Source organism: Homo sapiens, chromosome 11 (assembly GCF_000001405.40).
Source record: "Homo sapiens chromosome 11, GRCh38.p14 Primary Assembly".
Taxonomy (NCBI): domain Eukaryota; kingdom Metazoa; phylum Chordata; class Mammalia; order Primates; family Hominidae; genus Homo; species Homo sapiens.
In genome coordinates this window covers 42,035,283-42,049,440 of record NC_000011.10, presented here as the reverse complement: position 1 = coordinate 42,049,440, position 14,158 = coordinate 42,035,283, and the positions used below count along the sequence as shown (strand labels likewise).

Genomic DNA, 14,158 nt, shown 5'->3' with positions numbered 1-14,158 from the left:
GTGGGGTTGAGGGAGAATTAGTTACTTACATAGAGCATGCCTTCATCACATGGATGAACATATGGTACAAATCCAGACAGTGTGAGCCACACAAAATATGTCTCTTCATTAACTATTGGAAGCTCAACAACAAAATAGAACATATGCAACTAAAAACTTGTTTATTATTTACTTCAGTTTAATGATTATCAACTTAATCTGTTGAGCATATATGGTTAGATGTTCCTGGGTTTTATGCGTCTGATGAAAGTAGGATTATTTTATTCCATCAATTTTTGCAATTAGCAGTTAAGAAATTGTGAATGAAATACAAGATCAAGTTAATAACAAATTAATGCTGACAAATTAGAAGGATTTGAACACAGAGACTTGGAAAAGAGAGTAAATCTTTGAATAAAGATAAATTTGAAATGCAGATGAGTAAAACTGTATCTTTGATTCTGCAAATAGATTTAAAGAAACAGAAGGCCTATAAAAATGGTAAATCTTGATAAATGTCTTTTTTTCCATATTTTACTTTTTAAAATTCTGTTCTTTCTGTTCATCTGCATGAGTGACTCTTGTTCTTATGCAGGGGTCCATATCTCATCTCCTTTATTGGACCATGGACTCAAGATAAGAAAACAAGCTTCATTTCTCTCTTATCTCCTTCAGTGCCTAGCATGTTGTTTTGCATATAGTGAGTATTTAAAAGCTGTTTGTTGAATCAAAGTATGAGTGAAGTAGTGGTGATTTACACTGGCTTTATACAATTCACAATTTTAAAACAAATAAGTGAACATACGCTGAATTTCTTAAGCAGATCCCCTGCTCTATTTACATTAGATTTTTCCTAATTTCCTTAACGTATATTCTTAGCATGTCATAATTGAAGATCAGATTAGGGGGTTGTGGTTCATCTGGATCATAGGCTTATCATTAAAAAAAAAAGCTGTGTAAAATTTCTTCTATGAAGCCTGCAAAAGTGGGTTAATAAACCACATAACTCTTTGCACACATAAATTTAATGTACTGATGTTATCCAATTTACAATATGGAGAATATATTTGAATTCTGTTTTTTGGCAAAAAAATAATTCTTGGCCTGGAAAGCAATGCAAATAGATGTCCTAAATTTGCAAATATTTGCTTAGCACTGACACTAGATTTATTTAATGCTATGACTTAAACATATTTTAATAGATTTCTACCATAAAAAGACAGTAAAAGAGTTTGGCCTGCTCAAATAAAATGATGAATAAATAAATATAGCAGCTAATAATAGAAAGAAATATGACATAAATAATGGTAAGCTGAAAAGTAATTGTAGAAGTTTATGGTTATTGGGCTGAATCTAATATGAAACTAAATTTCTGCTGGCATTTCAAGAGCTGTCCTAATTAATCAATTGGTAATTGCAGCTATGATTACCAGCTGTGATTATGATTAATTGCCAATATTGATTGATCCTTCAATAATTCTGGCATGTTCTTCCAAACAGAATCTCTGCTGCATTAAGGAGGATTTGAGAGGCATAGTTATTAAAAGCAAATAACCAAACCCTTCATTCTTATTACAAATATGTCCTCAGGGTACAAGATTTGTAATGGTGAAATCATGGATAGATTCACAGTAGGAGAAAGCCAAGAGAGGACGACATTATTCCAGAGATTATTTTAATGAAATAGACTCATTGTGGAGATGGAGTGTATATTTTATAATGATTCATTTACTTCGGGCTTACATTTATTATACCCCCTACTAGTTGAGCCTTCTTTCATTATAACAGTATGATCTCTTCAGGCCAGCCTGATCACTACCTTTCTTAGTCCTATGGGGAGTGAAAATAAATATCTCTGTGCTTTTCTAACTGCCACGTTATTTTTTGTAAGAAAGGTTAATTATTAAGTGTTTTAGGGAAGTGCCAGGAACTTCAGCAAAGGAAATATTTTTTTCTGGCTTACATCATAAATGAGAAATTCTTGAAAGTCATTTTCTCTAATATGTCATTAACCTAGTGCCAACTGGAGGTGGTAGTTATATTATCAAGGAGCAGTGACACCATGCAGCCTAAAAGGGTGGCTTGTTACCGTGACAGCTCCCCAAAACCATAAATAGAATTTATCATAGAGGAGCTTCTCACTTCAGATTGAAGTAGTGACTTCAGTAAGGTGAGATCATTGGAAAATGCTGAAAATCTCACTCATTTTCAAAAAAGAAAGAAAGGAAACCATTACATATGTTCTACAAGGGCAGGGGACCTGTCTATTATGTCTCATTGCAGCCTGAGACCTTTTAAAGTGCCTAATACAGGGTGGAAATTTAATAAATAACTCCTGAATAAATGAATGAACACTTGTGCACACTCCCAGATGTTGGGACTTGGCATGTATTGACCATCGATTCAATATACACATTTATTTATTGCACTGCATACATGATATTGCACTATCTACATACAATCTTCCTAACAACCACATGAAGGAGGCTCAATTAGTAACATTATTTTAGAAATGTGGAAATAACTTTGAGAGGTAAGTAACACAGTCAAATCCACATAATTAGTAATTGACAGTTGAACCAAAGGACTTGAGCTAAGCTTGCTAAAGCTACAAGATCCATGCTTTTAACTATTGTAATATTCTAATTTTCAAAAATGTCCAGAAGGTTAATTGCATTTTTCCTCTTTTGCAAAACAACTTATTAAGTTACTTGAGTTTATAGCAGAGTTTGGACTTGAGACCATCAGTCTGTTGCCAAATATTCACCCACTGCTTCCACCTCACCTTTACCTTCTGTGAACCTACTTCTTCAATGTGAATACCCTGCTCAGAGAGGGCTGCTCTTCAATATCCAAATGATGCCATTCTCATTCCTAACTCTATGGCCTGGTATATGGCCTTTTATTAGTTTCCAGTTGCCACTATGATACGTTACCACAAACTTAGTGGCTTAAAGCAACACAAATTTATTGTTTCAAAGTTCTAGGTGTGAGAAGTCTAAAATCAGTCTCACTGGGCCAAAAAGATGCTAACAGGCTTTTTCCTTCTGAAGGCTCTAGAGGAGAATTCATTTCCTTGCCTTTGCCAATTTCTAGGAGTCATATGCATTTCTTGGCTAGTGCCCCCTTTGTCCATCTTCAAAGGCGGCTGCACAGTGTTGTCGCCTTCTGTTAACAGACTCTGCCCCTGAAATCACATCATTTCCTTGGACTGACTCCCCTGCCTCCAGTTTCTAAGGAGACTTGTGACTACATTGGACCCACCCAGATAATTTATGATAATCTCCCTATCTCAAGATCCTTAATTTAATTATGTCTGCAAAGTCTTTTTGGCCATATACGGTCACATCCACAGTTTGGGAATTAGGACGTTGACATCTTTGGGGAGCCATCATTCAGCCACTACAGACCTGCATATGGTCTCATTTTGTTCCTTTGACTTCCCCAGGCAACCATACTTCAATTTACCTAAAGGACATCCATCTACTCACTTCTGAAACTGGATTAATAATATAGCCAGCATTAAAAAATGAAGAGCCATGGTTCAGATGTTTTTCAGTATCATTTATGCTTGGTGAATTTTGGAAGCCACATCAATATTGTTCAACTAGAGACTATGTAATGGTTGTTGAAATAATTATGAAAATCGTGACAGAACATGAAGACGCTTATATTTTCAGTAAAGAAAGCAGGACACAAAATACTATCATCAGCCTTGTAATATTTATGTATTTGAATATGGCTAGAAGAAAATGAAATGTGATTTAATTTGTGGGAAATTATCAGCATTTTTATTTAAATTTTGCTGTACTATTATGTTATTTTCAGTTTCCCAACTCTTCCGTGTGACTTTCTAGTAAACATCAGCCTTCACTGATACTCTGTCTTCTCTAAACTATGCTTTATAAAGTATATCACAAAATTTATCTCACTTACAGTTTTTCATTCAGGAATCATTTCTGCCCAACAGAGTGTATCTCCTGGATTCTCAAGCCACCTAGCATGTAACTGATTATTTGATGAAAGATCTATAAACTATATTAAGTTCAACATATATTTGTGGAATGTTATATGCAGTGTCCTACTTTTCCTGGACTAGAACAATTTATGCCTACCTTCTTGTAGGAATTACTAAGAGTACCTCTTTCACTCCAAAAAGTATTCGGGCTGGGCGAGGTGGCTCATGCCTGTAATCCCAGCACTTTGGGAGGCCGAGGCGGGTGGATCACCTGAGGTCAGGAATTTGAGACCAGCCTGGCCAGCATGGTGCCACTTCGTCTCTACTAAGACAAAAGAACTAGCCAGGCATGGTTGTAGTCCCAGCTACTTGGGAAGCTGAGGCAGGAAAATTGCTTGAACCTGGGAGGCGGAGGGTGCAGTGAGCCGAGATCACGCCATTGCACTCCAGCCTGGGTGACAGAGTGAGACTACATCTCAAAAAAAGAAAAAAAAAAAAGTATTCTGGTTTGAAAGATAAATTATTTAATTTTCCTAAATATATACCAAGTATTGTGGGTTGATCTCAGTGATAACTGTAAACCTTGCTTCCTAATCTTAACGAGTGAGCATTAAATAATTTGATACATAGTGTGGTAAGCAGATTAATGGCGCCCTCAAACATATCCACATTCTAATCCCGTGGAGCCTGTGAATATATTATACTATATAGCATAGAGGCATTAAGGTTGTAGATGAAATTAAGGTTCCTAATCAGTTGACCTTAAAATAGGAAGTTTACCTTGGATTATCCAGGTAGGTCCAATGTAATAGTTACAAGAGTTCTTAAAGGGGAAAGAGGGAAGTAGAAGGGAAAGGTGACCATGGAAGAAAGACACAGAGAGATGCAACAGTGCTGGCTTTGAAGATGGAGTAGGACACCACAAGTCAGAAATAACAGGTGATATCAAGAAACTGGTGAATGTAAGAGGGCAGAGCCTTTCCTAGAGCCTCCAGAAGGAATGTAGCCCTGCTAACACCTTGATTTTAACCCTGTGATGTCCATGATAAACCTCTGATCTCCGGAATGGTAAGATAATACTTTTGCACTGTTTTAAGCAACTACATTTGGTGTAATTTGTGGCAGCAGCAATGGAAAATTAATCCAGAGTTACAGTTTTGCCTTGACCGTAATACAGGCAAGTAGAAGTGGATGAGTCCTAGGCAGAAGAATCCTAGGACTTGTGATGGTACCCAATGCCCTGAGGGTGAGCCCAGAGCAGAGTGCAAGATAGAGGTGCAGCCCAGCAGTAAGACAGAATGAGTGGGTTTGGCTCATGTGCCAGGTTAAGCCAGAAGAGGGTACATATCCCTTTTTTTTTTCTTTGGGTCATCACCTTCATTATTTTTCAATTACAATGTGGTCAATCAATTTTCAAAAATTGCTTTCTAGTCCAACAAGATGATTGACAATGGTGACCTACTCTTCCGGTTATCCCAGAACTAAAAAATTTCCTGGGATTAGGGACTTTCAGCACTAAAACCAGGGCAGTCCCAGGGAAACTGGAATTGTTGGTTACCCTAAACATGGCATCATACGTTATTCATTCCAAAAGCGATTCTTAAGTGAGAATGTTTAGTATAAACAGCAATAAAAAGAAAATACAAATAAGCAAAACTAATCTTTGATTATTATAGCTTTAAAACTTTGGCCTAGGACATTATAATATAAATAAGATACTCTTAGACATCCCTATTTAAAAATAATCTATTTAAGCTCAATTTTGAGAAAGTACTACATTTAAATTTTTTGTAGGCTGCCTTATTCTAATAAAGAACACAAGAATAAAATGAGCCAAATCAGTTTTTTACTCATGATGTTATGGAATTGTATAATGGAAGTGACTCTCTATTTGTGAAAACACATTTCTGAGAGATCCTCCTCTCTGTGGGATGACTCAGAGACCTTAGCCAGGAACAGGGAGAGTCTGAGTGGGTGAGGCTTTCACCCTCCATTCCTGTTAGAACCAGCAGAATCTACAGTCATGTCATTTGCAGAGGGTTCTTTGGTAGAAATATAATAAAGACCACTGTTTTCAATCAAAACAAATAAAGGCCCAAGAAGGAAGTGATTTGTCCAAAGTCACTTAGCAACTCACAACTTAAGCTCCTGGCTAGACTTAGTTGCCTTTCTTCATTCACCTATAATCACCATAGGAATACATGGAAATGTAGTTCTTTTGTAATTATATCTTGTCGGATGTCTGAAGAGTGAAAATATACCAACCTTTTAATGACACAGCAAGTTGGAAGGTCCACATGGTTTGCTGCTACACAAAATCATAACATTAAGTGTTGGCACCAGAAAGGATCATTTATCAATTCTCTCCTTCTACAACTGTAGTCCAGGGAGGTTAAATGAGGTTTGTTGAGATCATCCCACTAAGGGCAGCATCAGCACTGGAATTCTAGGGGAAATTCGTTATATCATTCGACTTCCCTTTGCTGTCACTTGTAGTTATTGTTCCTTTGGTTTCTTTAATGAATATTTCTACTCAAGTCCAGCCTTTTCTTTAAATTCTAAGTATACTTAACATTGCCAGGATATAATATGAAAGTAGTAAAGCTTTAATTGCTAAATCATTGAGAACTGAGGAGGGGAAAATAAAGACTAGATTTTCTTACCAAGTCAAGTCAACATTTAATTGTTGTCTAAGCCATCCGAGAGTTTTAGAAAGAACTTAAAGGAAGGGTGCTGAACTATTTATTCTTCATCCTACACCCACATTCTCATTGGACATTGACAGCTGTTAAAAATAAATAAGAATTTTAATAAGAAAAGAAAGGGACTTTTATATGGAAGGTCCTATGCTGGCTACTTTAAATACTATATCTCAATCAACACATACAGCACCCCATGGGATAGATTTTTTTACTAAGACCCTTTATGTTGCAAGTGACAAAGTCATAACACAAGCCATGTGCTATGGTTTCAATGTTCCCTCTAAACTCATGTTGAAACTTAATCCCCAATGTGGCAGTATTGAGAAGTAAGATCTTTAAGAGATGATTAGATCATAAGGACTCTGCCTTCATGAATGGATTAATCCACTTATGGATTAATGATTTAAAGCATTAGTGGATTAATGGAGTATCATGGTGGATTTATAAGAAGAAAAAGAGAACTGAGCATAGCATGTTAGCACACTCAGTCCCCTCACCATGTGATGCCCTGTGTCATCTCAGGACTGTCTACGGAGATACTACCAGCAAGAAGGCCCTCATCAAATGTGGCCCCTTGACCACATTTCTGCCTCCATAAGAAATAAATCCCTTTAACCTATAAACTACCTAGTTTCAGGTATTCTGAAATAAGCAACAGAAAATAGATGAAGACAGTGTTTTAAACATAAATGAGCATTGAGAGCCTCATATAGTTGAGAATTCTAGGAATGTTAATACCCCTTAAAGAATGTGAGTCTCAGAAACTTTTGTTTCTGTCTTCCTCAACCTCTCTTTCTCTTCATGATGTAGCATTATTCCTTATTTCTTACACTGCAGAATAGAATGGACAACTTGGAGTTACAGGCTTAAATCATCTGAAAAACTAGGAAGATGCTGGTTGGCCTGGCTTGAGCCATGTACCATCACTGTGAGAAACTTTGTGGCTAGGGAGATAGACACTAAGATTAATGAAATCTAAGCGGCATGAAAAATTCTATACCCCTGGACTAGAAGAGTATGGCAATAGACAGACCCTTGGAGACCATGTTAAGTGGGAAGGAGCACTTTCCCAAAGAAAGAGGAATTCTGTTAAAAAACAGAGGAGAGCTATTGAATCAGCAAATGTAAAGAAATGTTCATGAGGGTGTAATTATCTTTACGTAGGGATGAGTATATGAGATATCAGAAATATTTGATAGTGCTTTTAATGTTTGCACAACTAATAAATACATATTAGCCCAGAATATGAGCCCAATTTCATCTGGTTCCAATTTGTTCTCTTTCTGCTGTAAGCCTTGCACCACTGTGATATTCATAGACCCTTGTAAGGGATATAGCTTTTCTTTACAAACATTAGAATTATTATATTCAATTCAGTAACAGAACTCAAAATAGCACTACTGAATTGTAAAAATGATTATTTTGTTGGAGGGATATAAAATATCTGTTTCTCTGGAAATTGTTTAGCAAGGAGCATGACTTTTGTTGTGTTTTTAAATGTTTTCAAAGGGATTTCAAAATCTTTTAAGGCCATTAAAGGAGTATTTTAGTGGCTTGAAATGTCCTGAAGATTTTTCTCACCTACACAGCTCATCATCAAAAAATTACCATCTTAACTCTTCAAATGGAGTAAAACAAATCCTTCTCTCCTATAATGCTAATAGGATTTTTAATTGTTTCACCTTTATAGGATGCAGAAAATTTGGCTAAATAATAAAAATTCTAAAAACAAAAAAAAAAATCCTGACACCTTGGAATTCACTTTCAATAATTGATTCTAGAGAAATAATGACTTCATAAATTTGATTTCACAGGGATTCTTCAAAGTATTAGAACAGAGAAAATAGAAAACAATCCAAACATTAAGCAATAGAGGATTAGCTAAATGAATTATGACAATGATAATACGTAACATTTGTTGAGCCCATGCAATGAGTCAAATGTTGGGCACACTATTCATGGCACTTATTTATCTCATTCCATCCTCACAATAAAAAACATACAAATTAGGTGTTATTGCTATTATCTCTCTTGTCTTCTTCTGCAGTTAAAAACAATAAAACAAAACAGATACATAAACGACAGACTGTGACTTAAAGCGATAAAGCTAAATGCAAGAATATCTAGTTTTTAATTAGCAGAGTCCAGACTCAAATTTGGGTTTATCTGACTCCAAAATGCATGCATTTAAACACTATGGTATATCGTTATGTATTCGATCAATGACAAAATATCCCATGATTTACAACAATTGTGTAAATCTATAAGGCTGAAGAGGTATTTAGAAAAATTATTTGGTTAAAAAAAGAAGGTGGCAACTAAGAATGTATATTGGGACCCTCAGTTTTTTAATTAATATTTACTTGTCTGTATTTTTAGAAACCAACTTGTTAAGCATGTCTAACTTTATGTAAAACAGCCCATTTTTATACACCTTATTCTATTTTTTCTGTAATGAATTAATTGTTTACAATGAGAATAAAATACTTTTCTAATTATTAGAGTAAATTAACAATTTCCATTTTGGAAAAAAGAAAAGAATGAAATATTTTGTCTATCATTCATGATCTCCTTCTGTCTAACTTGATAATTCTTCTTGCCAGATACTGTAGTTATTGGAATTTAGATTGTTTGCTTGTTGTATCCAAACCTTCCCAACAAGAAATATTTGATACCTATGATAGTAGGCACCTGGCTAACAGGATAACAAAATAGAATTTCTAACATAGAGACTCTAGCTTATAATGGAATCATAATGCTTCCTCTTGGGAAACATCTGCAAGGGCTGAAAATAATTTTTAATGAGTTAATCAAATAGTTTTCAACCTCCAGAAAGATTCAAGATTCATTCAACTCTGGCAAGTGATTAGGCTTTCTGCTTAATCCCCTGCTGAATTCATATCTTGCTAATCCTGTGTTGTTCCCTGAATGATTGCAAAACTCTGAATCACTAATGATCCAATATAAAAAATAATGATTATTCTTCCCTTGACCAAGAGTACTTTTCAGAACCTGCAGAATATCTCTGCATTTTAAAGATGCAGGGAAACTATAACATGAAGATTATTTTAAAAGAAAACAAATTCCTTTAATTAAATCATTTGCTAAATTATAAGACAATGTTAAAGGGTTTTTATGTTCCTCATGTCTCTAAAATTATAAATAGAAAGTTCTGAATTGTTTTCACCTCCTTCTTCCAATTGTGCTGTAGTCATTAGAAAGCCCAAACAAGGGTCAAAATCGCATCTGCATTCAACACTCTTCATCGACAGACACTTAATATATAGGAAACATGTTTTTGTCATGATGTAAAAAAGCTTTCAAACTCAGTGTCTAAATGAAGTACGGATCTTAGATTTAACAGTGACAGTTTACAACACCCATCCTCTATGACTTCAGACCATTTTTCTCCTTCCTGATCTTGCAAGTCCGCAGGGATTCTTGCCCGAAATCCTGGAATAACAAAATAGCTTTTAAAATGCTCCTGAGGTGTTTGGCCTACTTGTTAAATCTGCTGCCATCAATAGGTGACAAATGAAGAGGAGAATAAGGGCATTCATAACTCTTGAAGCTTGGGTCCTGACTATACATATTAAAGACAGAAAACTTCCCTTTCTTTTTGTGCTAACACCCATGCAATTCCCCAATATTGACAGGCATATCTTTTATTCTACAGAAATAGAAACCCACAGAATGAATCTTATTCTACTTTGAGCTTAATGGTCAAATTTGAGATACATTGATGTAGGAAAAGGAATACACAAAAGACTGAGTTGATAACTTCTGATAAGATGGAGGTAAGAACAGAGTTTAGGTCAACGTATCAAATCTTCAATAACTGAAAGGTTTCTAAGCACTCTTACTAATAAGTGATTTCCTGTCCACCAAATTTCCTCCCAACTCTTGACTTTCCTACCATAGACATTATTTTTCTTTATTATTTAGAAGTATGCTTACCTCACATATGCAACACTGAGAAAATCATTTCTTTGTGTTACAGTGTTTGTAATAAAACTATAGTATAATCAAATATACTATAATCACCTGAACTATTACCCGATGCTAGAGCTGTCAAAACCTATAAATACAACTAGCTTCTTCTAATAATTGAGAAATTGGAGGATTTAAACCAGTATCTACTAACCTTCAGTTCTCTCACCCTCTTTTTTCTTCCTCTTTGCCCAGCTGTTGCTAACAGCCAAAAGAGAGATAGATGTTACATATCAACTCATTAATTTGAAAATCAAGGTCTACATGGCAGTATACTAAATATAACTGGCACCCAATAAAGTCCAGTCTCTGTGTAAAGTCAATCTAAAGGAATAACAATCCTGTAAAATACTATAGCAGAAATAATTACAGTGTTTACTTGGTCTCTGGAGAAAATGCTAAAAAGTATAGGCTGGAGGAGAGTCATGGGCAGAATTAAGAGCAGTGGTTCTCAACCAGAAAAGTTTTGAATCCTGTGGGAACACGTGGCAATGACCGTAGGTTTTTGTTTTGTTTTGTTTTTGTTTTTGTTTCTGTTTCTGTTTTTGTTTTGGTTTCGGTTATTACTACTGGAGGGCTACTCCAGAAGTGGGAAGAGACCAGGGACAGGGATGCTGCTAAACACATAGAGTGTACAGGGCAGAACTACAACAAAGAATTTTCCAGTCCGAAATTTCAGAAGCGCTAAATTTGAGAAATCCTATTCTTAAGTGTTTTTCAAAAATCTTCCTGGTGTGGTGGCTCACACCTGTAATCTCAGTGCTTTGAGAGGCCAAGATAGGAAGACTGCTTGAGGCCAGGAGTTCGAGACCACTGGGCAACATGGTGAGACCTCATCTCTGCAAAAGATTTGCAAATTAGCTGGTTGTGGTGGCACATACCTGTATTTCAGCTACTTGGGAGGCTGAGGTAGGGGGACTGCTTGAGACAAGGGAGTTTGAGGCTGCAGTGAGCCATGGCTTCACCACTGGGCTCTAGCCTGGCTGACAGAAACCCTGTCTAAAAATAAATAAATAAATAAAAAGAAGAAGAAAAGGAATCTCCCCAGTTTCATATTCCAACTCCTGAGCATAGCATTAAAATTACAAACTAATTCCAGAATTTTTCAGTATATAGGAGAAAGGAGTTTTTCTTGTGTATTTTGCAGAAACTAAAATGTAAAAAGAAAGCAAGTGAGAGGAGGCAGGATTTTACACTAAATATAAAGATGAGATGCTGACAGCTGTGACCTATAAGAACAACTCCTAAAGCAACCCCTAACTGATTCAACTCCACAACCAGCCTCACTGAGGTTAGCATCAAAAATTATCATCTTTAGAAGTAAGAAACTCCTTGGTCCTGTATTCTCAAGTCATATGAAGATAGATAAATAAGGGAACTTTATGAGTTGATGCCAATGGACAGTTGAGGGAAGAAAGAAAACTTTAGTTTTAGAAAATAGATATGTGTTCTTCGCTGTCATCAGTTGCATTGCAATACAAAAACCTACAAAGCAAGTATCTTCAAATGTTTATGAAGCCTATGGTCCTCCCAGCAAGTAAGCATTTCACATGGCCATTTTAATATAGCAAATGTGCTATGGTGTGTTTGGCTTATCCAGCAAAATGATAGTACAGGGAGAAGAATATAAATGAGCCCACTGTCTTTAAATCTGCTCATCTTTTTGACATATAAGATTCTGGTTTGCACATGTATATTATACTGAAATAATTCTAGCAGTCAGGACTTCTGTTTCTTTTCTTATTATTCTTAGTAGAAAATGTATCATTGGAAGACTCTACAATAAATTATGAATTATTGAAATGTGAGTGTATAAGCACTATTCTAAGCCAGGTACAGAAACTTACTTTTGAAAGCTCTTCAGGAACAAATTTAATATTAGTTAGATAACAGAATGTATCTCATAAGCTATTAAACATATATTAAAGTATTTTTCAGAGATTAAAAATCATGTTTTTGAAAAAATTTTTAAAACATGGGAAAAAAGAAAGATGAAAAAATTATTTCATTATAATTTGATTAAAAATAAACATAACCATATATATGTTGAAAGATAACTTTTATAAAAACTAAAAACAGTAGTGGTTATCATGGTTGAATGATTATAAATAGTTCTTACTTTTTAAAAATTTGTATGTTTCCAAAATTTTCATCAATGAAAATATTTTACTGCTGAGAGAAAAAGAAATGTTTTATTTTTAAAAGAACCTACAGAGAACTTTTTTTAATCTAACACATTGCTAAAACCATTTCCATATCAGTTCTATCCACTCTTATTTTGGAAAACTGAGAGAAGAATGAATTTGTAGTAATCGAAGGCAGCAAACAACAAAATGTGGCCAAATCCATAAATCCCTTTACTTAGCAAAGCAATTCTTTGCAGCTGCAACAGTTGGAATCAATTACTGAAGATTTTCATGTTGTAATGTCAGCAGAGTCTCAACTGCTGGGGTTGGAGCTGGGGAAAAGTCACTTATATTGGGCACAGAGGCTAAAGAAAAGAGCAATTTGATCAGAAATGGCTTCATTTCACCAATTATTATGCTATTATCCTGTGCTTGAAGATAAACAGTTTAGGCGGGGTCATGATTTAGCAGTCTCTTAAGACCATACTGTTTAATTAGCATGGCTCTTAAAAAAACTGAGCTCAGCTCATTTCTCATTGGGTCTATAGGAAAAGAAGGCGTGTTTTTCTTTACTATAGGCATTTTTCTAGCTTTGTTAGCCTTGTGGTACACATAGTACAAAAGAGAGTTCATTTTTGACTAAGAAAACTCAATGGGCAGGGATTGGACCAAGGTAACAAAATCCCTGTAAGAGTTGAGAATAGCACACTTCTAATGTTCAAGATCCTCAGGCAACTCATACCCCATGTTTTACTTTTGCAAAACTTTATTTGCATTGTTTTTTGTTTCTTTGGTTTGTTGGTTGGATTTTTAGAGCAGCCTACACAGTTTATCAAATTTTTTTCATTGCAACAGTCTCCTGGGCATTTGAATTTTGAGAAATGTTGCTTTTAGTAGTAATTTTCTCATCATTCCTTGGACCTAGGGAAATAATTAGGTATGTAAAGCTTTACAAAGAAATGCTTATAAGGTACAAACCTGTATATGTACTAGGACAATCCCGAGGTCTCTTCTAACCTGCAAACTCTTATATCTAATGGTCTACTAGGAATCTCCACCTGAATGTCTCATACAATTCAGATTAGCAGGAGGCTAAACATTGAATTCTTGATCTACACTTCTAGCATTGTAGTCACTCTATAAAAGCAGGTATTCTCATTATCACTTAAGCAGGAAACTGTGAAGTTTTTGACAAGTCTTTTGTAAGCACCTAACATCCCAGTTATCTGCAAGTCTTTTTGATTCTACCTCAAGGATAGATCTAGGAGCTATCCATTCTCTCCATTTTCACTTTCAGCCTCAGTTCATGTCACCATTGCAGCCTCTCTAGCTGTCACACTTTTTCTCCCACTCCCATCATCCCCTTACAGCAGCCAGACTGCTTCTTATAAATCATAGCACAG

The 14,158-nt window shown here is 35.4% G+C and overlaps 1 long non-coding RNA gene across 1 annotated transcript in view; it reads left to right on the top strand.

The window, feature by feature from the left end:
* LINC02745 (long intergenic non-protein coding RNA 2745) overlaps positions 1-14,158 on the top strand; it is an 83,737-nt gene that overhangs the window by 36,018 nt on the left and 33,561 nt on the right. The window contains exon 7 of the long non-coding RNA NR_135065.1: positions 10,316-10,436. This is a non-coding gene — a long non-coding RNA (long intergenic non-protein coding RNA 2745). The remainder of the gene's footprint in view (positions 1-10,315; positions 10,437-14,158) is intronic.